At 43.4% G+C, this 26,267-nt stretch overlaps 1 protein-coding gene and 1 long non-coding RNA gene across 10 annotated transcripts in view, besides 1 other annotated feature; one reads left to right on the top strand and one right to left on the bottom strand.

Moving 5' to 3' along the window:
* ARHGAP44 (Rho GTPase activating protein 44) overlaps positions 1-20,552 on the bottom strand; it is a 202,146-nt gene extending 181,594 nt beyond the window's left edge. For all 9 annotated transcript variants that reach the window (NR_135569.2, NM_001321167.2, NM_014859.6 and 6 more), the window contains exon 1: positions 20,159-20,552. Coding sequence is in view for 7 of the 9 variants with exons in the window: in NM_001321167.2 (NP_001308096.1) it covers positions 20,159-20,211 (53 nt within the window). In the remaining 2 variants the exon portion in view is untranslated. The remainder of the gene's footprint in view (positions 1-20,158) is intronic.
* ARHGAP44-AS1 (ARHGAP44 and MYOCD antisense RNA 1) overlaps positions 19,766-26,267 on the top strand; it is a 30,151-nt gene continuing 23,649 nt past the window's right edge. Inside the window, exon 1 of the long non-coding RNA NR_104607.1 lies at positions 19,766-19,907. This is a non-coding gene — a long non-coding RNA (ARHGAP44 and MYOCD antisense RNA 1). The remainder of the gene's footprint in view (positions 19,908-26,267) is intronic.
* Positions 20,276-20,625: a silencer, noted in NCBI's record as "silent region_8206". NCBI's record gives its function as "represses an Ori minimal core promoter by ATAC-STARR-seq in GM12878 lymphoblastoid cells {active_cell/tissue: GM12878}" and the evidence as "EXISTENCE:reporter gene assay evidence [ECO:0000049][PMID:35858748]".

The following is a 26,267-nucleotide window of genomic DNA, read 5'->3' as shown; positions in this document are numbered from 1 at the left end:
TCAGCACTGCCCTGATTAAATGCTTCAGTTCCACCCCCCTGCTGATGATTCCTCACCACCATCCCCTAGATCTCCCTCCCAGGCTCCAGCCCCTCATCCCACCTGCCTGTTGGGTTTCTCTCCTTGCATTTCTCACAGGCTCCTTCTCAGTGACTGGCACAAGCACCCTTTGCCCAAGCACCAACCCCAGCAGCAGCTTTATCTCCCACTGCTCCCGCAAGTTCCACCATGGCCTTTATCTCTGAAACCCTTCCATGGCTCCTTTCCTCATGGCCACAAATCTGATCTAGATGACCATTATCTCACTTTGACTGCGTAATTAGTCTCCTGGTTGAGTGTATCACATCCTACCTAGTCACTCTGGCACCAGTCTTCTCCCCTGATATGGTTTGGCTGTGTCCCCACCCAAATCTCATCTTGGATTGTAGCTCCCATAATTCCCAAGTGTCAAGGGAGAAACCTGATGGGAGGTAATTGAATCATGGGGCAGGTCTTTCCCATGTTGTTCTTGTCATAGTGAATAAGTTTCATGAGGTCTGAAGAAATTATTTTATAAAGGGGAGTTCCCTGCACAAGCTCTCTTGTCTGCTGCCGTGTAAGACACGCTTTTGCTTCTCCTTTACCTTCCACAATGATTGTGAGGCCTCCCCAGTCATGTGGAACTGTGAGTCAATTAAACCTCTTTCCTTTGGGTATGTCTTTATTAGCAGTGTGAGAACAGATTAATATAGTAAATTGGTACCGGGAGTGGGGCTCTGCTGTAAAGATACCTGAAAATGTGGAAGTGACTTTGGAACTGGGTAACAGGCAGAACTGGAACAGTCTGGAGGACTCAGAAGAGGACAGAAAGATGTGGGAAAGTTTGGAACTTCCTAGAGACTTGTTGAATGGCTTTGACCAAATGCTGTTCATCTCAGATGGAGATGAAGAACCTGTTGGGAACTGGAATAAAGGTGACTCGTGCTGTGTTTTAGCAAAGAGACTCATAGCATTTTGCCCCTGCCCTAGAGATCTGTGAAACTTTAAACTTGATAGAGATGATTTAGTGCATCTGACAGAATAAATTTCTAAGCAGCAAAGCATTCAAGAGGTAACCTGGGTGCTGTTAAAAGCATTCAGTTTTATGTATTCACAAAGACATGGTTTGGAATTGAAACTTACGTTTAAAAGAGAAGCAGAGCATAAAAGTTCAGAAAATTTGCAGCCTCATGATGCAAGAGAAAAGAAAAACACATCTTCTGAGGAGAAATTCAAGCTGCCTGCAGAAATTAGCATAAGTAACGAGGAGCCAAATCTTAATCACCAAGACAATGGAGAAAATGTCCCCAGGGCATATCAGAGGTCTTCATGACAGTCCCTCCTATCATGGGCATGGAAGCCTAGGAGGAAAAAATGATTTTGTGAGGCAGACTCAGGTTCGTACTCCTTTGCGCAGTCTCAGGACTTGGTTCCCTGCATCCCAGCCATGGCTAAAAGAGACCAATGTACAGCTTGGGCTGTGACTTCAGAGGATGCAAGCCCTATGCCTTGGCAGCCTCCACATGGTATTGAGCCCGTGGGTGCACAGAAGTCAAGAACTGACGTTTGAAAACCTCCTCCTAGATTTCAGAGGATGTATGGAAATGCTTGGATGTCCAGGCAGAAGTCTGCTGCAGTGACAGGGCATTCACAGAGAACCTCTGCTAGGGCAGTATGGAAGGGAAATGTGGGGTTCGAGCCCCACACAGAGTGCCCACTGGGGCACTGTCTAGTGGATCTGTGAGAAGAGGGCCACCGTCATCCAGAACCCAGAATGGAAGATCCACTGACCGCTTGTACCATGCGTCTGGAAAAGCTGCACTCAATGCTAGCCCATGAAAGCAGCCAGAAGTGGGACTGTAGCCTGCAAATCCACAAGGGCGGAGCTGCCCCAGGTTGTGGGAGCCCACCTGTTGCATCAGTGTCCCCTGAATGTGAGACATGGAGTCAAAGGAAATCATTTTGGAACTTTAAGGTTTAATAACTGCCCTACTGGATTTCAGACTTGCATGAGGCCTGTAGCCTTTTTGTCTTGGTCAATTTCTCCCATTTGGAATGGGTGTATTTACCCAATGCCTGTATCCACATTGTAACCATTGTATCTGGGAAGTAACTAACTTGATTTTGGTTTTACAGGCTCATAGGCAGAAGAGACTTGCCTTGTCTCAGATGAGACTTTAGACTGTGGACTTCTGAGTTAATGCTGAAATGAGTTAAGACTTTGGGGGACTGTTGGGAAGGCATGGTTGGTTTTGAAATGTGAGGACATGAGATTTGGGAGGGGTCAGGGGTGGAATAATATGGCTTGGCTGTGTCCCCACCCAAATCTCATCTTGAATTGTAGCTCCCATAATTCTCACATGTTGCGAGAGGGACCCAGTGTAGCAGGTAACTGAATTATGGGGATGGGTCTTTCCCATGCTGTGCTTGTGATAGTGACTAAGTCTCACAAGATCTGATAGTTTTATAAAGAGGAATTCCCCTATACGTACTCCCTTGCCTGCCACCATGTAAGACATGCCTTTGCTTCTCCTTTGCCTTCCGCCATGATTGTGAGGCCTCCCCAGCCATGTGGAACTGTGAGTCAATTAAATCTCTTTCCTTTATAAATTATCCAGTCTTGGGTGTGTGTTTAGTAACAGTGTGAGAACAGACAAATACATCCTCTACATCTGGTTCTCCCCTCTGGATGCTGGGTGATCACCTTAAAACCCAAGCCTGACCTTGCTATTCCCATTTAAAATAATAACAATGGCAATTCACAGTCACTGAGGACTTACTCTGTCCCAGGAACTATTCCTCAGCCCTCCTCTCTGCTCAGCACTGCTCCGATTCAATGCTTCAATTCCACTTTATGTGTATTAATGCACATAAGTGTCAATAAAATTAATTAGGAGGCCATTAGGCTGAGACGACATGGTTCCTGTGCCTTGGGTTCCTATGTAAGCAAACTGAAACTCAACCCAATATAAGCTGCAAAATGAAACTTAAGCTCAACCAATCTGAAATCACCAACAAATCTCTAACTAGAGACTACTTTACCAAGCAAGAAACAGAAACTTACCTCTAACCAGACTTTCCACTTCAATCAATCAAATATTTTTTGTTTTGCTTCCACGACACCTTATAAAAGTTTCCCTCTTACCCCCTATCAACAGAGCCCTGAACCACTGGTGGTCTGGTGCTGCCCAATTCATGAATCCCTAAATGCTCAAATAAAGTCATGAAAATGTAAATGTGTCTAAGTTTATCTTTGAACATAAGATAGATTTATTGCTATCTGCATTTTGCAGATAAGAAAATTGAGGCTGACAAAACCTAAATGGGCTTGTCCATGGTTTTACAACTAGCAAGTGATAGAGCCAAAATATGCACCTATGGGAATCTGACATCAGAATCCATGCTCATAACCAAAAACTATGGGGAGATGTCAAGTGGCCACTCAGTAATTTACCATTGGTTCTCAGATGGAATCCAAATCTGCACAACCATGTCTTATAAGTAGGGTGACCATACAATTCACCCAGGTTTTCACTTGCTGTCCCCAGCATTATTAATTACATGATCACTCTCAGAAATGGCCCCAGTTTGTATAATACATTAGATGGTCATCCTATTTGCAAGCCTCACCCCAACTCCCAATGATATTCCCAACATGAAGAATTTATTTTACTTTCTTAAAAGAGACATACTCTATATCCCTTGGCAATCACACCTGCCATTCCCACTTTCCTTAGCCTGCTAACATGCTTTCCCCTTCAGGTCTCAGTTCTAGGACTTTCTTCCAAGCCCCCACTACAACCAAACTCAACTATTTTCTCATCACGCCATGAGCACCTCATTTACCATCAAAGATACCACCTCAATTGTAAAGGCGTATATAATTGCTTTCTAACCACCCTCATACTTCTAGCAGAGGACTTAGAACACAGCAGATATAGTGTACGCCAGATTTCCCTTCAGGAATAAAGGACTTATACCCCCTCTGCTAGGTAGAAATGCTGTCAGATGGCCACCCTTGGTCATCTGTCCGTTGCCACTGCCTCTGCTGAAGGTCACACCACCTTTCAAGGGAAGCCCACATGCAATGGCTAATCAATGAAGAGGTGAAAAGGCTCAGTTCCCCTCTTCCCAACTCAGAATAACTCTGAACTCACCCCTAACATGGAACCAGCTGAAGCCTTTGTGGAGACTGCATCACAGCTCAACTCCCTCTGCCTAGTCCTGCTTCTTTTCACTCCCTTCCACAGGTACTGATGCTAAGAGCACTCCCTAGTAAACATGCTGCATGCTATTCTCAGTATCCGCTTTGCAGAGACCCAAGCTATGCCAGTTAAGTGGTCGGTAAATATCTGTTTAACGAAGGACCATCTGTACTCAATAAGCTGCCATGTCTTACATACTCCTCTTAGCATATATGACTATGCAATTCATAGGTATGGCTTGAGAATGCTTTGGAGATAAAGACAATACACTAGGAACTACTAATAATTCTAACGCCAAAGTCAGATTCTTGTTAGTACAGAAAAATCTTGGAGATTATGAAGGCATGAATATAAGCCAACAGACACATATTTAGCATGGAAAAAACTCAATTTAGGGGCCATAAAAATATCTATCTTTGAGACTTTTTAGAGGAGCACATACAGTGTCTTCTTCACACTCTTGATAAAGACCTGCTTATGCTATTTGCAAAGCACTGTGGACACCAGTCAGGACACAGAGATGAAGAAACCCCAATCCCTGCAAAGACACACAGCTTCTAGTAGAGTCAGGAAAACAGAACCAACAGCAACTAAAAATCAAGGCAGGAAAAAATAAGTGGTGTGAGAAAATGAGCAGAGTGCTGTGGAAGCACCAAGAAAGAAACAGTGCTTCCCCCTTCAGGTCTCAGTTCTAGGATCCTCTTCCAACCCCCCACTACAGCCAAACTCAATTATATTCTCATCATGCCATGAACACCTCATCTACCATCAAAGATACCACCTCTATTTCAGTGGCATATTTAATTGCTTTCTAACCACCCTCATACTTCTAGCAGAGAACTTAGAACATAGCAGATATAGTGGACACCAGATTCCCATTCAAGAATGATGGAGGAAGCTAGGAAGGGGGGATGTCTGAATTGCACTCTAGGAATGAATTTGACAAACAGTTCTTGAGTCTATTCTATGTCTACATTCCAGACACTGTGCTAGGGATTTATAGATTAGTACCAGAGACAGATGTGTGCAGAAGTATAACTAGAATACAATACACCAAGTTTTATACCTCAGTGTGAACCAGCACTCTTGAATCTGAAAGAACAGTTTCGATAAATGGAAAGGAGAGGCAATAGCTTAATCAAAGGTCAAAGTGTTGAATGCTAAAGGGGAATACTTGAACTTCATTGAAGAACAATCTCCATGACACATCCTACAAACTCTAGTTTGAAGAATGGGTATCCCATGAAAAACAGTATTCACACTCAAAATGCTGGCTTAAACCAAGTCACAGTGGATAGTGTTGGCTGTTTACTTGAATACTTTCCTCCTCCTTCCTTCCCATGAAAACTCTGATTTGCCCAGGTACCCATCCCTTCGCCATGAAGGTCTCCTGACTTAGGCGAGGCTATCCCCACGTCCAACTCCAGATGGGGTCTTGATGGATCTAAGCCAGTCATCATAATCCTACTTTCTGGCTTCAAAGACAGAAGCATGGGCACCATCAGCCCTCTGCAACCCCTCCCTCCAGCATGTGTTAATGGTCAATAGTAAACGTGTGAAATAAATTGGCCTAGACTAGAGGAAAGCGCTCTTATTCCATGATCAGGACCACTTGGGCTGCTTCTTTGTCTCCTCTTTGGTTTGTGAACGTGGAGGCAAATCACCCTAATTGCTGCAAACACCTGTATTTTGACAGGGAAACAAGCCAAGACACAGATGAAGGCAAAGCGAAGAAAAATGGAGAGAAAGACAGCAAGTGACTTAATCACAAGACACCTGGACTCCTCCTACCTTTGGATGCCCTATCATCCTGGAATAAAAGTTCCCTTATTGTTTAAGCCACTCTGAATTATGACATCTGTTATTATAACCGAAAGCAATCCAAGAGATACAAATGATCACGAGTTTTCTTAACTGCAGAACTTCTTAGAGCCGTAAATACAAATATAGATTGTAAATTTCTAAGATAAATTTATAGTATGCAGTATTTCCAACAGTGCTAGGATTTTTTTCCCCACAGAACAAAACTTGAAAAAAAGGAAAATTACATTCTTCAGTCCATGTATTCAAAAATATGGTCTGGGCTGTGTTGCGGGAAGTCAGAGGAAGAAGAGGCTAAGGGCAAGAATACAAAGAAAGGAGTCCCTGCAAAAGTCGAGGCTAGAGAAGCAGACTATAATTAAGATACAGAAATTTAAAAAGCAAGAGGCCTAGATGGGTGGATCATTTGAGCCCAGGAAGTTGAGCATACAGTGAGCTACGACCCACGCCACTGCACTCCAGCCTGGGCAACAGAGTAAGACACTGTCTCTTAAATCAAGTTTAAATAAATTAAAAAGGAGAAACAGATAAAATATAATTCAGGGATGGATTCATAGGAGCCAACTGGATAGGTAAGAGATAAAAATGGACTTCTCTGGGGCTAGGCATGGTGGCTCACGCCTGCAATTCCAGCATTTAGGGAGGCAGAGGCAGGCAGATCGCTTGAGGTCAAGAGTTCAAGACCAGTCTGGCCAACACAGTGAAACCCCATCTCTAGTAAAAATACAAAAATTGGCTGGGCGCGGTAGCTCACGCTTGTAATCCCAGCACTTTGGGAGGCCGAGGCGGGTGGATCACCTGAGGTCAGGAGTTCGAGACCAGCCTGGCCAACACAGTGAAATCCTGTCTCTACTAAAAATACAAAAATACAGGCGCCTGGTGGTGGGCGCCTGTAATCCCAGCTACTCGGGAGGCTGAGGCAGGAGAATTGCTTGAACCCAGGAGGCAGAGGTTGCAGTGAGCCAAGATCGCGCCACTGTACTTCAGCCTGGGTGACAGAGCTAGACTCTGCCTCAAAAAAAAAAAAAAAAAAAAATATATATATATATATATATATATATATATATATATATATATAAATTAGCCAGGTATGGTGGTACATGCCAGTAGTCCCAACTATTTAGGATGCTAAGGCACAAGAATCACTTGAACCCGGGAGGCGGAGGTTGCAGTGGACCGAGCTCACGCCACTGCACTCCAGCCTGGGCGACAGAGGGAGACTTCGTATCAAAAAAAAAAAAAAAAAAAAAAAGAAATAAAAAAGAATGGACTACTTTGAATGCCAGGAAACACACTAAATCAGTAAGTAGAACCCTGGCAAATCGATCAAGGTGGGGTCTTTGATGTCACTGATTAAAGAGCCTGGTCAACAACTGGGTATGTTAAACAGCATCATCCCTTCCCTGTCCTCGGGCCAAGAGTCTGATTTTCCTTTTGCACTCTGCCTCTCCTCACTGCTGTCATTGTAGACTGTCAATCGAAAGAATTCCTATTCTCCCCCTGTTTCCAAGTGAAGATCGGACTTAACGAACTAGACTGTCATATGTGAATCACCTGAGTGACCCAATGACAGAAAAGAATTTTGAAGCAACTCCTTTGCCAGTGGCCTCTGACGACACTGTCCTTTGCCCTGCAGCAGGGACACTCTGTGGTCACTCCCAGGCCGCACTGTCCAGCTCTTCCCTTTGATTTTTCAACCATCCCCACCCTTCCCAAAACTCCTTTTTTGCTAAAATTAGCTAGAGTCTATTTCTGCTGCTGCATCCAGAGAACCCTAACTGATTATGGGGGAACCAGCAAATTTCAGCTATGTGTCATACAGACCAAGTCTCAAAATGTTATGTCTTTAAAATTAGTAGCAATGGCCTAAAAGGCTATTAGCATATCATTTTCCAATGGCAGACTAGTTTATCCTAGAAAATGAGATCTGACATCACGTCCCTTCCAGAACATTAAAGATAAGAGATTTCTCACATTTAAAACCAGGAGTCAAGGCAACTGGAAACATATTTGTACTTAGACTTTTTAGGGCCCCAAAGTTAAAATAAAATACCATTCTAAGAAATTCTGACTACAGTTGTCTACTTTGAGCCCTGGAAGCTTTTTTTTTCTCTCTCTCTTCAATAAAATACACGTTTATTTTAAGAAATTTGGAAGTTAAAAAAAAGCATAAGCAGCAGAAATCAAATCACTCATAATCCTGCCCAGAGATAACATTTTATGCTTAATCTTCTAGTCTTTCCTGATTTCCTTCCAGACTTTTCTATGCATTTTTTAAAATACTGTACAATCTTAACCCTGTATGCACTCATATATCCTGTTCCCTATCATAAACATGTCTCTCGGCCCTTAGACATTTTTTGAATGTCATAAAAACACTAATAGTTACAATTGTGCAAATGTACCAGAATTTACTTAATCATTCCATTAATATTAGACATTTCATTGTTTATGCTTCTTTCCCTACTGCAGAGTCATTAAAGTACAGTGATGAAAAATATCAATGTCAGAGCCAGCATTTCTGGAAGCAAATCTCAAACCACTTCCCTCACCAGCTATGCAACCAGCAGCAACAAGGCACTCACCTGCTCTGAGACTTGTGTAGAAAATGGGGGAGACACCAGAACCTACTCTTAAGAGTTGTTGGGAGGATAAAACAGGAAGGTCTGTGCCGTTACTGCACAAGTGTCCGTCAGAGGACACACTTAAACAGCATCTAGGAAAACCAAGCCAGTGTGCACACACATCTGCAAAGGCAACAGTGTGCATGAGATTCCTAGTGCTAAAAGCTCTGTCCACTTTTCATATTCCTTTCTCAGACTCTATGTTTTCAGGTCCTTGTTTGGTTAATGTGTTACATAGGAGTCTGTAGAGGCTTTTGCAGATAAACTGCTGTCTCTCAGCATAGAGCTACAAAGAACTTTCTCTTACCTTTTCTGCTGAAATTGCAATAAAAAAAACAAAGTGAAAGAATCTTCTATTGGCAGAAATTTCACTTTATGCTCCTTGTGGTTAAGGGTACATACAAGACACTCAATTATCTTAAATGAACGTGACATTTTTATTTTTATTCAAGTCAGGAGCAGTTAATTAGCATTTCTAAAACCACCTAAACTGAAGTAACTTTGAGGGACTCTGAGGCAGCAGAAATAACAAGATTAGGGGGAGAGAAGCAGGAGAGGCATTTGCCTACGACTGACCTACTTAGGCCCTGGTTCAAATCTGGCTCTGCCGCTTTTAGCCTCTATTTCCCCATCTGTGAAATGGGGCTGTAAATAGCCCCATTCACAGAGACGTTGCAATGAGTGAATTAAAATAATGCTTATAAACTACATAGCCTAGTTCCTGACAACAGATGACACAGATGTGGCTTCTGTGGCTCTATGACTTTTGGCCGGTATCAGGATTGCCTTCTACTTTGAGAGTAGAAGTGGCACGCGTCACTTCCAGAATATTCAGAGCCAGGATATAACTTCTCACATCCTCATTTACTGCCTCTGCCATCACTGCACCATGTGTGGAACCGAGCCCACTGCAGCCTGGGTCTCAGAAGAGCTGCCTCCAACCCTCCACTGGCCAGTGCTATAAGCAGCTGAGACTTGGGGGCTTTTGTTACAGCTGCTTAACCTAGACTTAAATTGAGTGATACAATAACTATTAGTCACCATGGGGATTCAATGAGTGAAGCCATTACAATTACTGATACCTCAAGGTGCTGCCTTCAGGCATGCTCTTGGCTAAATACAGAAAAACTGGGCTTGATTTGGGAAAAGGAGACAAATGGGTATCAATTTCAAGTTGTAATTTTCAGGTAACGAGGAATATAAATAACAAAATAAATGCTTCATGTCAAAGACACTTTCAGCACGGCAAGGAATATTGGTAATAACTGTCATTTATTGAGTGCTTATTACAACCAGGGGTTATTCTAAGGATATGATATTTACTATCTTACTTAACCTTGACAATAACCCCATAAAGTAGGTGCCATTCCAGTACAGTAGGATAGTTTCTGTTCTCTTCATTATTCCTCTCCCTATTGTAGAAAGGGCTCAAAACAAAAAATTAATTTTCTCTGGCCGGGCATGGTGGCTCACACCTGTAATCCTAGCACTTTGGGAGGCCAAGGCAGATGGATCTCCTGAGGTCAGGAGTTCCAGACCAGCCTGGCCAACATGGTGAACTCTGTCTTTACTAAAAATACAAAAATTAGCCTGGTGTGGTGGCAGCTGCCTGTAATCTCAGCTACTCAGGAGGCTGAGGCAGAAGAATCACTTGAACCCGGGAGGCAGAGTTTGCAGTGAGCATACCTGAACGTCGGAGGGTAGGGCGGGGCAGAGAAGACTGTAGATTCAAAAGACAGTCATGAGCAGTGGAAGCGGAGAGAAAGAAGACTGCTGGAGATTCAACAGGGGTGGAGGCTCCCTGTCTCCAGTCATATCCAGGGAACTAGTACTGGCCCATGAAAAGTGAACATAAGTGACGTTTGTGAATTCCAGGCCCAGGCATCTAAGAGCCAGTATACCACTTCTATTTTCTCTTTTACCTTTAGCACTGACTGAAAACCACATACTGAGATTTTGAGGTGGAGGGGAAGATGGATAGACTAGGTTCCAGAATCACACACGGAGGAGAGCTGTCCATGGGAGTCCTCCTGACTCACATCACATTCACATGAGCTTAAAGGAAGCTTTTGCTATGTTAAGCCCCTGAAATTCCAGAGCTCATGTGTTATCACAGCAGAGCTTAACCTATCCTAACACAACATGGAAGACTAAAGACCAGGAAAAGAACAAAGTAAACTCAGGGAAATCAGGAGGAAAGGATCTGAGAAAAGCAGAATTTACTAGAAAACATATGTGCTGATCAAAAGCTAATGAGAAAGAAATCCAAATGAAAATAGCTTAAATCTAATTACTGACCGGGGTAGGGAGAGACTTCCTCTGGGGCAAAACTTGTCAAAGGGAAAAACAGAATTGTAAATTAGGAATGACAATAGAAATACAATGATATACTCAAAAACTTTCTATTAAATTTTAAAATCATAGTATAATGAATGCTTTTCTATCAAATATGTTATTCAAACTGACTCAAGAAAAAATAGACAACATGAATAGTCCAATAACCATTCAAGAAATCCAGAAAACTGTCAAAGAACTACATCCAGAAAACACCCTTGGAAAGTTGTTTTTATCTTCAAAGAATGAGTACTTCTCCATCTTACCATTCTATAGGAACAAAAAGAACATTGAACAACTCATTTTACACAATTAACAAAACATGACAGATATGGGGGAAAAAAATCAAATGCTTTCATTTATGAATGTTGAATGCCAACATCCTAAATAACAAATTAAATCAAGCAGTATTGAAAAATATGAACACACCATAGTCAAGATTAACTGCAGGAAGGCAAGGAGAGCTCAATATTAGAAAATCTATTGAGGTTCAAACATCCAAAACACAAGCTCCTCATGGGTACTGACTCTATCATTGATGTATCAATGATGCCTGGAACATAAAAGTGTCCAATAAATATATACGGAATAAATTATTGAGTGATGTCAAAATCAAAGAAAAAAACACATTGTGATTATCTGCAAATGCCATGATAAATCAAATTTAACTTTGATGTCAAAGAAAACCTCAAAGTAAAATAAAATTATGCAATATGTAACATAATTAAAAAACAAAATATCTCAAACCAATCATCATGCATTTTAATTGAGGTTAATAAGACATGAATGCCCACATATTGCCATGATATTTTAACATTGTTCTATAAGTCCTAGACAATGCAATTAGGTGAGAAAATAAAACAAGTATAAACCACCAGAGAGGAAAATACAAAATTATTATTTGCAGAAGACCTAATTGTCTCCCTGGAAAATCCCACAGACTCAATTTTTTTAAAAAAAGTATTTAAAAATAATGAGATAGTTCATGAAGGCGGCTGTTAAGATAATTACATAAAAATCAACAACTTCGCTACATTCCAGCAACAAAGAGTAAGAAAAAATATATAATTTAATAAAAGATTCAAATCACTGAAGCTACAGTAACAACACTGACAAATTACCTATAAGTAAAAGCAAAATTGTACAGGAGCAAAATGGACAAAAACTACTTTATAGGATTATAAATAGATTGGAATAAACATGCCCTATTCCCAGATGAGAAGAATTCGCATTATACTCAATATTGTAAAAATGCCCATTTTTTTCCATCTTAATATACACTTTTAAAAAGTAATACTGAGAGACAATAAACAAATGAGCACAGTCAAGAAAACTGATCAACTTTCTTTCATAATGGAGCAATTTGGAGGTTAACTGTGGTTAAGACACAGCATGATCCTTAGGCAAAGGCTGTTGTGCTCTAAAGACCCAGGAATGGCCCGGGTTGAAGCTGAGCTGAGAAGTTCAGCCTGACTCCACTCCCACCCAATGGACGGGGTCTCATGATAAGGATTAACCCACCACTGCTTATCTGGGTAGCTGAGCCCGTCTTAAATTCCTGCCAGAACCAACAGACAATAAAAAACAAACTAGAAATCACAGAAAAAGATAAAAGTAGATGAAATTTTTTAGTACACAATGATGATGATACTTCAATATGGTGGGTATGAATTACACTAATCAATAGCAGGGTAATCAATTTTAAAAAGCGTAAGTATTATACCTAAGCCATGTCATACATCAAAATCAATGACTGACACACTAGAGATCTGAAGGTAAAATGAAATTATTATAAATAGTAATAAAAATGCATGCATATTTATATAATCTGCATCTGGGCAAAGTATCCCCAGACATAACACTGAAGAACAAACCACAAATAGATAGACTTAAGATCACAAAATGTTAAATTTATACACGGCCAAAAGAAAAAAGAGACATACAACAAAAATTTTTAAAACCTCTAGGGAGATGTGTGTGGCATATGACAAAGCATACATATGCTTAATATATTAAAAATTACCTTAACATCAATAAGAAAACAATTGTGAACATGACTTTAGAAAAATGGGGCAAAGACAAATGCAGGCAATTTAGAAAAGGCAACTAATGTCAAGAGAACTTTAAAAATGTTCAGCCTCAAGGCCAGGCGCAGTGGCTTACACCTGTAATCCCAGCACTTTGGGAGGCTGAGGCGGGCAGATCACGAGGTCAGGAGACCGAGACCATCCTGGCTAACACGGTGAAACCCTGTCTCCACTAAAAATTCAAAAAAAAAAAAAAATTAGCCAGGTGTGGTGGCAGGTGCCTGTAGTCCCAGCTACTTGGGAGGCTGAGGCAGGAGAATGGCATGAATCCGGGAGGCAGAGCTTGCAGTAAGCCGAGATCATGCCACCGCACTCCAGGCTGGGTGACAGAGTGAGACTCCATCTCAAAAAAAAAAAACAAAGAAAAGTTCAGCCTCACTAGAAAATAAAAGAGGTGGGGTCAGGTATGGTGTTGCACACCTGTAATCCCAGCACTTAGGGAGACTGAGGATGGAGGATCGCTTGAGCACAGAAGTTCAAGGCTGCAGTGAAAGTAGTGTGTATGTATGTGTGTATAATATACACATTCAAAGTCTTAAAAATTCACATATTCTTTGACCCAGCAATTACATTTCTAAGACTTCATCCTAAGAAGCTAAATTCATGAGAAATATTTGCTAAGTGAGTAGCAAAAGAAAATGAGTTAACTACAGTGGAATACTGTATAGCCTTCAAAAATTATGCTGGGGATTAACAGTTATTGACATGGGATCATATCCAAGATGTAATATAAAGGAAAAAAAAACAGGTTACAAAACAGTATACAGAGTATGGTCTGTACTCTTTTTAAAGAATAGATAGATAGATAGATAGATAGATAGATATACTTCTCAAAAACTGAAAGACTATATCCAAAATATTAACTATGGTCTCTGGGTAATGAGATTATAGGTGATTTTTTTTTCCTTTTAGCCCATCCATAAGTTTATGATTTTTCTACCATAAACAAATATTACTTATATAACCAAAATGAAGGTTAAAAAAAGTAAATTGAATTCTGTGGGAAAATAAACATTTATTCTAAAAATAAGCTCTAAAGTTGGAAAATGAAAGCAAAACATCTGCTTCCTGGACAGAAAGAAGAGTTTGAAATTGCTAGACAGCCACAAGCTTCCCAAAGGCGGTGGAGTTCCAGGTGCCAGCTCAATTGGATGCCCCACGCCCGAGGGAAGAGGCCTGACTCTCTGACTCTCCCCCCAACCTCCTGCCTGACCTACAACTACATCCACACAGATGTAGCATAATTTTATTATTTGCTGTCTTTATCAAATAGCATTTGAAATAAACTGCTTTTGATTATTAATAAAAGGGATACTTACTAATCCCCTCTAAAAGGAATGACCATAAATTACCAGTATATTTGTATGGCTACTGATCCACTTTCTCTAGAGAAAAAAAAAATGGTCCTTATTGCCCATCATTAAAAAAAAAAAATCATTGATAAATTACTTTGATGGAGACAAACTGGGAAGGAAAATGATTAATTGCTATTTAAGAGCATGGCTTCCTCACGATGACTTGCAGGTCTGGGATAACAGAATTCTGCAGGAAATCTAGACAGCTTCAGGCTGACTGCTGACAGCAGCTCAGCAGAAGGTGAAACCCAGCAGACCCACACAGTGAGGATCTTAGAAGATAAGAGCAAAGAATATTCTCTCCAGATTTGCTAACCCAGTAATCGGTGGGTTAGTACACTCTGTTATCTCTCACATATATACAGCAGAACAGGCAGTAAGGCCTGGGCTTCCATAAAACTCTAATGAAAAACTTTGCTCTGAGACCCATTCAATGTGCACAGCGCTCTTTGGGGGACGAGTTTGGGTCCGCCCAGCCCTGCTGGGCTAACAGGAAGCCCATGGCAGGGCCTGTGTTGGTCTGGCAGGTCTAACTCACAGTAAGGGAAATAGAAGGGAAGGAACAAAGCAGTCCAAAGCCAAATTTGGAATTGGTTCTGATTTTCCTCTAATGTCCTATTGATTGGGTCACGGCTCTTAGAAGGCCTACTACAAGGCAGGGCAATGTCTCAGAGATACCTTCAAGGAAAAGATCCTCACTGACTTTGGCAGCTTTGGCCCAGACAAAAATGTCTGCAGCACCAGTGCTCCTAGAGGCTGCTGCAGCCTCAGCCTCCAGTTCCCAGGCTCCCCACCACTGGCTAATGCCTAGGCCTCTGCAGCTGAATTCCAAGAGCTGCACAGCAGCAATGATACCTGCAAAGCTGTGCACCAGAAACCAAGCCTGCTTTGCAATGTATGCAAAGCAGTCAAGGAATAGAAAACAAGGCTCCAGAGACAAAACTTTGTCTTCACTCCCCAACTCATAGCCTCTAAATCCACACAATTCAACCCGACCCAACCAGCCTTCTCCTTCCCGCACACCCACAGTTCCTCACCTACTCCCAGACACTTTGAACATCACTCATTTTAAACAAGAGGACAAGCCCCACTTGGACCATCACTGGGCAGTAGCTGTTGAAATCGTTTCTAAGAATCCTTTTCTACTTAGGAGGCCAACATTATTTTTGGAAGACTTGAATGGGTGTTCAGTGACAACGAACCACCTCAACCATTTGTTGAGGACTTCAGTGGACCAGGCTCCCTCCAACCTCATGACAGCCCTCTGAGGATGGGGCCGCTGTGAACCCACTGTGCAGACTGGAAAAAAAAGTCCTCCCCACCAAATCAAGGTACCATTACTTCTTCCATTTGCTTTATCTTAGTGGGTCTCGTGGGTGCCAAATTTTAGCTCAGGGCTTTGCTCCACCCAACATCAAGCAAATGTCACTTCCAAGAAAAATACTCTATGCCTTTCGGTATGCTTCTCACTCCAGCAACTGCTAGACTCTCTTGAAGGTAAAAAGAAAAATGCTGCCATCAATCAGGCAAGAACCAAATTCTCCCGTAAATCTTGCTCTGCCCTTCCAATGCCCAGAAGTGCAGCTGTTCCTCTCTCCTCTGACCACCATCACAACGTTAAAGAAACATGGTATCAGGAGCTTTCCCCATCTTTGAACTACTTCAAAAGACTCCCCTATCTATAGCGCATGGATCTTTTGTTCACTTACTCATTCCATTGCCAAAGAATGACAGAGGACCTTCTATACAGGGCAGCGTTAGGGCAGCTGTCCCTGCCTCCAAAGAGTTTAAAGTCTAGTGGGGAAAGTAAATGACAAAAGATAAAAATTATAACACAAGTGAGCCATTATTACCATAGCATGCTTTTAGAATGCAGGTTCCTTTTTTTTTTTTTGTGTGAGATGGAGTCTCACTCTGTCGCCCAGGCTGGAGTACAGTGGTGCAAGCTTGGCTCACTGCAACCTCCACCTCCCGGGTTCAAGCGATTCTCCCGCCTCAGACTCCCCAGTAGCTGGGATTACAGGCGCCCGCCACCATGCCCAGCTAATTTTTGTATTTTTAGTAGAGACGGGGTTTCGCCATGTTGGCCAGGCTGGTCTCGAACTCCTGACCTCAGGTGATCCACCCTCCTTGGCCTCCCAAAGTGCTGGGACTACAGGCGTGAGCCACCACGCCCGGCCTAGAATGCAGGTTCCAGGCAAACAGGAATTTTGTTTGCCCTGTACTGCAATACTCCCTGAACCAGAGCAGTGTCTGGGACACAGTAGACATCTAATAAAGGTACATATGCCATAGTGCATATAATTCAATAACAGTCATAACATTTGCCCAGAGATACTTGTAGCTACCATTTATTAAGCATTTCCTAGTGCTGAGCACTGCTAGGTACTTTTCACAGGTTATCTATGTTATCACTGTGGTTACCACATTACCACAGTGCAATCCTTAACTACTCCCATTTTGCAAGTAAGAAAATTAATGTGCAGAGAATTAAGCTCTGGATTCCATAGTCAGCAACAAACTAAACCTGTCCCAGTGGAAAGCCTGTGCTCCTAACCATGAGGCACACAGTGGCCAGGGAGTGCTTCCCAAAGGACGGATTGAAGTGAAGGGACAGAAAGGGGAAAGTTCAAAGCAGAAGGAACACGTGCAGACTAAGGAAACAGACCAAGGAGGGGCTGAAACTTTTGTCAGTTAAATACAATGGGTTTTATCAAATCTTTTCATAGTCGCTGACGCCCTTAATATGACTTGGATGTGAGCACTTCGAGAGAAAGTACTAGTAACCCAGCAGAGTATGTTTAAGTAGGGCAACTCCTACATTGTTAAAATGACTTTAAGTTTTATATTCAGAACTCCAGAACCTGCAACTTAGGGAAGGCGAGCCATGAGGAAGGACTTTCAAGTCCTCTTAGTCCTCCCTCGGAAAGAGGAAAACTTTAGAAAAATATAAGGATAAAAATCAAGTGCTTTATAACTGCACACCTAAAGTCCAAATTCCAATCCTATGTGCTTCTACTGATTTAAGAAATTAACAGGCAACCGCGGGCTCTTTTACTCCAATACTCATAGGATCATGACCCAAAACATTCTCAATAATAGAGGAGATACTGCCCCTCTCGCTGACCCTCACGGACCCTGGGGTAAACCGTTTTAATCTCGGCAATCAACACCGATTGAGAGTCAGTAGTCTAAACGGCATTGCACTATCTACACAGGCATACAACAGCAATCAATAGATTCTGCTGGAAGCAGACAGACAAGAAAATAAAAAATAAAAGCGTTTCAATCAGTGATGAGTGCTGTCCAGAAATGAAAAAATGATGAGCTGGAGGTAAATAGGGGAGGAAGGGCCTCTTGAAGGCCTTGGAACCAAGACTGAAATGATGAGAAAAAGCTACTTGGAAGGAGCACATTCTCAGCCAAGCAAAAAACAAAAAAAATGGGAAAACAGTAAAAACGAAATCCTCAAGGTGGATATGAGCTCAGTGTGTTTGGGGCAAGAAAGGCCACACGGCTAGAGCTCCATGAATGTGAAGAGATGAGAATGGGGAGAAAAAGAGTTAAGAAAAAAGGCCAACCAAGGATGGTCCTGTAGAACCCTGGCAAGATATGAGATGCTAAGCACAATCAGATGTCGCTGGAAGCTTTTCAGCAGCAAGGTAACATGAACTGGTTTTTGCTTTAAAAGGCTTGCTCTGGATTTCATCAAAAGCGATACAGGCTGGCCCTCACCTGGCCCAGTGCACAACACAATGGCTACCAACGGAGAAAGGCAGAATTCATCCATAGGCCAACATCCACCAGAGCCCCAACAAAGAAGAGGAAAGAACCTCTTGGTAACCAGCTGCTTGGACTTCCAAGAACGTGCTCTCAATACCTAAGACCACTTTTTCTGAAATCCAACCTCCCCTCACCATTTTGCATTCCCCCCATGGATGAGGCTGAAAAATAAGATATGATGCCATGGCGCAAAAATCTCCCCCATTTAAAAACAGGTCCTGAAAAAAAGAAGAATTGTGTTTCAGGAAGGCCAGGGAGGAGGCATAAACATGTTCTGAACATTTAGATTCTAGCACGGCACTGAAACCCCAAGACCAAGAGAAACCAGCAACCCAAGTCTAGTGTCAGGGGCCTCCTGGTCACTTGGCTGGTCTGAGGTGATGGCCAATGCCCGCCTGCAGGGTGACGAAGAAGCCAAGACATTAAAGACGGGTCGGCTTGACTGTCATCTGCTAAACAACGAATACCAGGAAACACTATCTCGGCATCCAACACATCAAAAGGCAGTCCACGTGAGGCTATATCTGTGGCAATACCATGCCAGAAATCTGGGCTAATCTGACTCTGCTATTCATAAATTCCCCCTCATGTTAAAGCACATGTGTTTGGGAAGGAAAAATGAATCCAAGTCAATTTTAGACATTGTTACTTGGAAACCATCTGGAGTCCCTGGAAGCATAAGAAGCCACCGCATCCCCTGCCCTCAAATGCCCACTGTAACTAGGGCAGTATGCTCAGACGGGAGTTCAGATGTCCCCTATTCCCCAGGGATGTCCCCACCCCCATCCTACCAGATGCCAGTTCAGGCTCCACTTCCCACCCAAGAAAGGTATTCGGTTTCTCCGTAAACCTAGTGGAGAGCCCTCGAGGTGTTGAGCTTGCATTTGAACTGCACCCAAGGCTGGATTCTTTGCTTTCTGATTGCTTTAGAACAGCACACCTGAATTCCTTTGCCACAGCAGCAACGGAAATCCCTCCCCAGGAGTAGGGGTTCCAGGAAAAATCCCTTCTACCTAACGCTCCTGTGTTCAAAGAATGTCTAGTCTTGGGAGCGACCCACCAGGATTTTTATGTAACCTTAATAGATGTTGGCACCCTGCAGAGCCGCTCCTGGAGTCCAGATGTAGCCCATTTTCACCGTGATGGCAGCAGGCGGGGTCTTGCAGCTTCCCGGGGCCTGACTCTTCTGACTGTGGGGCCTCTGTCCCCCTCCCCTACCTGGCTGCGATTCTCTGCTTATCTCATCTTCCCGAGGACTTGGGCCTCCTTTTTGCAGCCTCCCTCCCTCCACTGAAATCAGTCCTAACATCAAGCAGGCAGCAACGCCATTCCACCAGCACCTTCCTTCCTCTCCCACCCCTCACCCTTTCCCCCCACCAAACGCCTTAAGAAACCCGGCCAGGAAAGTGATCCAGAATCTCGTACAGTCATAGTCCCTGAAAACAAACACGGCGGGAGGGGCAGGCCGACCAGGCCCAGCACTTTCCCTGGACCCGGGAGCAGCCCTGAACTCGGCGCAGGGGAGGGGAGGGAAGAGATCTCCGGAGACCGACTGCGGTTCGGCTGCCTCCAGCACAATCAGAGCAAACACCTGTTTCCAGGAAGACAGGCGGCCAGAGGGAGAAGGGAGTCCCGGGGAAAGGCAGGGAGGACGAAGCGAAGGGGCAGCCGGGGACGCAGGTAAAGGATGCGTCACACTTTGCGCTTGGCAACCGGAGCCCGGAGCAGAAGGCGGCGAGTGAGAAGAGCTCCGGGGTCTGGGAAGTTAGGGAGGAGGGGTCGCGCCTGCGAGCGGCGCCTGGAGGGAGCTGGTGCAGGGGAAAGGACTGAGGCAAGGAGGACTGGAGGCTGGGCGGGCTCCATCACCTGCGCGCCCCTGCGGATGCAGCCTCGCGGGCGCGCACCGACAGCGGTGCCCGCGGGTGACCTACCTGCCCACCGTCTGGTTGGCCAGCTGGCGCATGCGATTGAACTGCTTCTTCATCGTGGCCCCGCTGCCGCGCTAGCCCGGGAGCTGGGGAAGGACGGAGCAGCCCGGAGCCCGCCGCAGGGTTACATGGCTCCCGCGCGGAGCCTCCCGGGCGACGGCGGCGGCACTGCGGAGCCTCCGGGCGCCGTCTGGCCCGCGCGCAGCTCCCTCCCGAGGGCGCCGCCGCCTACTCCTCCCGCCGCGCCGCCTCCTGCCGCATCCCCCTCACGCGCGCCGCGCAATGCCCGGGGCAGAGCAATGCCTGGGGCCGTCCTCGGCACCGGCCCGCTCCGCCCGGGCTGCCTGCTCCCAGTCCCAGTCCGGCGCGGGGACCCGGGAGTCTCCGCAGGCTGGCTGGCCGGCTGGCCCGGCGGTCCCCGTGCGCCTGTGCGGAGAACGCCGTGCATGCCGGGACTTGTAGTTTCGCGCCCCGTGCCCACCTTTCCTCTGTCCAAAGTTTGCAAGGACAGTGGAGTGCGGAGGTGGGAGAAGGCAGCGTCACCAGCAGCTTTGCACTTTAGCGTTCGAGTAAGGGAAACGTTTTCCTGTTTTAAAAATGGCAAAGTGGGACCAAGAATACAACAGCAAATAAAGAAAGTGAGCATCTGTCTCTCATTGTATTTTTAGTGAATGTGAGGTATCAGTGTTCTGAATTCACAGAAGGGAGATTTATGCTAGCAGATACGTGGCTGATAAAACGGTCTAAGGTCACCTGATTAATGATGAGGTTCAAGGTTAAGCTTGAAACACAGGGGCTGACAGCAGATTTTGAACAGGCATAGCTTGCATCCCAGAAGTCTGATTCTTAATTTTTACCAAACCAAACCCATTAGGTAACCAGAAGCCAATATAGATAAGTGACGTTGTGCTTACTGGCCCAACCTGTCTGAGACAGCTTTTTTGTATGGCTTAGATGCCAATCTCGTATCTAGTCCCATTTCCCTTCCACCACCAGGAGACCAAGGGGCATCAGCTGCAGCACCCCCCAAGTGTCCTGCACCACAGCATCCCATTGGCGTCAGTTGACTCCTTGGAAGGGGTTGTGGCTTCTTTGGTCTCTATCCTTAGAAAAAGATAGGTGAGCCGGGCGCGGTGGCTCACGCTTGTAATCCCAACAGTTTGGGAGGCCAAGGAGGGTGGATCACGAGGTCAGGAGTTCGACACCAGCCTGGCCAACACAGTGAAACCCTGTCTCTGCTAAAAATACAAAAATTAGCTGGGCGTGGTGGCGGGCACCTGTAATCCCAGCTACTTGGGAGGCTGAGGCAGGAGAATAGCTTGAACCTGGGAGGTGGAGGTTGCAGTGAGTGGAGATCGCGCCATTGCACGCCAGCCTGGGTGACAGAGCTAGACTCCATCTCAAAAAACAAAAAAAAAAGAAAAGAAAAAAAAGAAAAAGATTGGTGATTGCAGTTAGGTTTTATCATTATATATCAAGGTTTTATCATTATATATCAAGTAAAAGCAGTATTGTTGGGTGTGAGGCACTTTGGATTAAACAGATAGGAGTTCCTGCATCAGAATTCCACATACCTGTTATATAACCTTAGGAAAACAGCTTAACCTCTCCAAACCTCTGTTTCCTCATCCCTAAATAGAAAAATATGCTGCCTGATCTTCAGTAAGAGAACTATTTGTTAAATTACAATAATCAAATTACATATAAATTTTCATATAGTACATTGCCGTATTCATTTACTACAAAATGATTATATTTAGCATAATAGAGAAAAATCCTGTTCATACAACAGAATTACTAATCTTATAAAGGAAGGATCTTCTTTGAAATAGGATATTTTGCATATGTTGATTATAGTTGCAAGATGTCCTAAATATGGCTCTAAGTATCTTGCTGGCTAGCTGAACAAAAAGTGGTTTGAGGCATGTCTTGGCTGAATGAACATGAAATCTTTAATTAATTGTGAATTTAGCCTCTGCTTATTAGGTCAGACAACTCCAGCCAGTGAATAAATGAAGGCATTATTTGCTTTTAACCAACTATGCTGTACCTATAATGTCAATATGATGTCTATATTAAGTGAAATTATTTCCATTTTGAGATTTTTTAAAAAGCAAAGTACAACATGCTTTTTATGTGTATAAACGGTAAGACATTAAGGTCACTGTATGACTTTTAGCAACACTATCTCTGGTAACTTCCAGAACTGCACTGTTGAATATAGTATCCCCTAGCCACATGTGGTTGTTGCAATTTAAGTTAATTAAAGTTCAAAATTTGGTTCCTCACTTTTGCACTGTTGGTGGGATTGTAAATTACTTCAACCATTGTGGAAAACAGTGTGGCAATTCTTCAAGGATCTAGAACTAGAAATACCATTTGACCCAGCAATCCCATTACTGGGTATATACCCAAAGGATTATAAATCATTCTGCTATAAAGACACATGCACATGTATGTTTATTGTGGCACTGTTCACAATAGCAAAGACTTGGAAACAATCCTAATGCCCATCAATGATAGACTGGATAAAAAAAAATGTGGCACATTTTCACCATGGAATACCATGCAGCCATAAAAAAGGGTGAGTTCATGTCCTTTGCAGGGACATGGATACAGCCATTAAAAAGGATGAGTTCATGTCCTTTGCAGGGACATGGATGAAGCTGTAAACCATCATTCTCAGCAAACTAACACAGGAACAGAAAACCAAACACCGCATGTTCTCACTCATAAGTGGGGGTTGAACAAAGAGAAAACATGGACACAGGGAGGGGAACATCACACACCGGGGCCTGTCGCGGGTAGGGGCAAGGGGAGGGATAGCATTAGGAGAAATACCTAATATAGATGATGGGTTAATGGGTGCAGCAAACCACCATGGCACGTGTATACCTATGTAACAAACCTGCACGTTCTGCACACATATCCCAGAACTTAAAGTTTAATAAAAAATAAAATAAAATAAAAACAGAATTTAGTTCCTCGGTCACCCAAGTCACATTCGAAGTACTTAAGAGCCACATGTGGCTAAAGGCTACTGTACTGGACAGCACAGATAAAGAACATTACTATCCTCTCAGAAAGTTCTACTTGTTAGCACTAATCCTCAAGAACTCTGGTAGCCAACTCCAATATCATGCCAGCCCCTGCCTTCAATCCCAAGATTTTTCCGTTCCAAAGGGAAATCCCTTTGGCAGCCTCCCCTGCCAGAGTGTGGTCCAATAATGTTTTATTAACTGGTGGCTTCTCCACAGATTTTCTGTCTTCCTTTGAATGCTTCCTTCACTCAGGAAGCAGCTAGTACATTTTCTGCTTTCTACCCCGGGGAAGGGATAATAGTGCAGAAACAAGAGCTTCAGAAACACATGTGACAGAATAGAGTTCTTCAAGAAAAGAGTTTTGAGTTTCCAGAATACAGGCTTTGGAGCTTTAATAGTCTATGTCAGAAATAGTAGATTATAAAGCATATATCATCCTGCTTAGTCTAAATAAAGAACCTACAGGCTGTGAGATGTTGAAGATGGTGATGGGGACTGGAAAGCGGGAGAGAAAGAGAGAAGAAAAGTAGATGATGCTTGTGCAGATACTATTAATGCCCAAAAAATTTCACTGCCAATCCCTATGGGAAGGACTCTATTTTACCTTACTGTTGAGGTAAAGATCGGTCATGTGATTTTCTTTGAACAATGAATATGCACAGAGGTGACTTTTACGCTTCTTCTGAGGGCAGAAGTTTCAGGAGTCATTTTGTGATCCTGCCCTCTTCTTCTTAACGCTGCCAATGAACCAGTTAGGGGATGCTGTGGAACAGTGATGTGGCCCCCCAGCAAAAGGTATCTTTGCTGTTTTAAATCAGAGGTTTGTTGCTGTAACATAATTGAGTCTAAGCTGACTGCTACAGTGGGTTTCTCTGAGAAAGTAGCATGCACCTTGCTTTTACCCATGGTCAACAATTAGGTTGGGGGCAGGCAGACTGAAGACAGATATATCATATCGTTTTGGGGCATCTGAGCACAGTGGAGAAGCTGTACACCACTCCTGGAGTGAAGGCTAGGCATGGCCAAGCTTGTGGAGATCCTCTGCCTTCTAAGACAGAGGACCAGTAAGACATCTATATGAAGTGCCTCAGGTACCCATACCACAGGCTAGTGGCAGCCCCAGAGCTCCCTGCACCCAAGCCATGTGCGATGATTTGGTGTCTGCATGTGTGCTGTGAGGATACACAAATGTACCTGAAACAGCTGGATGTGAAAGCTATTGAGATCAAAGATGATGATCAGGAGGAGGAGGCAGCATTGGCCAAGATGGAGATGGAATTGCCTAAAACTTAATTTTTGCCACCTAGAAGAATAGACTTAATATAAAATTTAAATGTATTTGCAAAAGAAGAGGAGGAGGTGAGGAAGGACGGTGGGAAGGGGAAAGAAGAGGAGAAAAGAAGAAAGAAATTTCTATGTCTTATATACCTAGCTTTGACCTATGGGAAGATTACACTTCCCTGCTCCTGTTGACCTTGACTTTGACCTTGTCACTTGCTTTGGTCAACAATATATGGGCTTCTTACTTGCTTCAGCAACATTGTAGTACTATTTGTCTGAGATATGTTCCCTTAGAAATCTGATACTCCATTTAGAATCCCCTGAATTAGAATGGTTTTAACCTCTACTCTGAGAGCAAGCATTCACTAGAGCCACCTGGCCAACATGGGAATCATTAGCTACATGTGGTTACTTAAATATTATTTTAAATTAGGTTAAATAAAACAAAAATTTCAGTTTTTCATTTCAAGTGCCCAATAACTACATGTGGCTAGTGGCTGCCGTAGTAGAGAATGTAAAATAACATTTTCATCATCATAGAAAGCTCCATTGGACAGGGCTGGTCTACAGAACAGAATTCAGAATAACCTCATGTGTCACTTAATGACAGGGATATGTTCTGAGAAATACATTATTAGGTGATTTTGTTGTTGCAAAAACATCATAGAAAGTACTTACACAGCCAGGCGTGGTGGCTCACGCCTGTAATTCCAGCACTTTGGGAGGCCAAGGCAGGTGGATCACCTGAGGCCAGGAGTTCGAAACCAGCCTGGCCAATGTGGTGAAAACCCGTCTCTACTAGAAATACAAAATTTAGCTAGGTGTGGTGGTGGGCATCTGTAATCCCAGCTACTCGGGAGGCTGAGGTAGGAGAATCACTTGAACCCAGGAGGCGGAGTTTGCAGTGAGCCGAGATCGTGCCACTGCACTCCAGCCTAGGTGACAGAGCGAGACTCCGTTTCAAAAAAAAAAAGAAAGTACTTACACAGACCTAGATTGTATAGCCTACTGCATGCCTAGGTTATAGGGTATAGCCTACTGCTCCTAGGCTACAAACCTGTATAGCATGTCACTGTACTGAATAGTGTAGGCAATTGTAACACAATGGTAAGGGTTTGTGTTATCTGAACACATCTAAACATAGAAAAAGTACAGTAAAAATACAGTGTTATAACCTTATGGGACCACTGTTGTATATGCGGTTCTTTGTTGACTGAAACATCCTATACATCATATGACTGTGTAGGGTCCACAGAAGAGAGAAAGCAGAACAGGAAGCTCGAGCTCATTATAATTATGGCCAATCATCTTGCTGGACTTCTCCAGGACACTCTTTTCTTATCTACTATATGGGGGTTTATAGTAAAAAATCTCTAAGTAATATGTTTTGGGGAATTAACTGGCCAGTCTATTTGCTCAATAAATTGCTGTTGGAGAAGATACACCTATGCCTTACAGTATTTGATATGTCAAAACAACATTCAGTGCTACAATACAACTGAAGGATATTACAGATTCCAATCACCTTTATACTTGCAGGTATCAAACTTGACTTGCACCATTAAAGTATATCTGTTAGTCCAAAATATTTTTTAAATAGGATGATAGATGTTCCCATCTTTGGGCATGGTATTAATAGATGCCATTAACTCCAATTTTCAGCCTTCCCTTAATATACCTTTGCATCGTCTCATCATAGGCAGAGTGTATTTTCCCACTTAATAACTTAGGACTTGACCAAGAGACTTCTTTGGCTAACGGCCTGTGGGTGGAAGTGATGTATGCCACTT

Source organism: Homo sapiens, chromosome 17 (genome assembly GCF_000001405.40).
Source record: "Homo sapiens chromosome 17, GRCh38.p14 Primary Assembly".
Taxonomy (NCBI): domain Eukaryota; kingdom Metazoa; phylum Chordata; class Mammalia; order Primates; family Hominidae; genus Homo; species Homo sapiens.
Note: the sequence above shows the minus strand (reverse complement) of the source record. Positions and strands in the feature narration are given on the sequence as shown.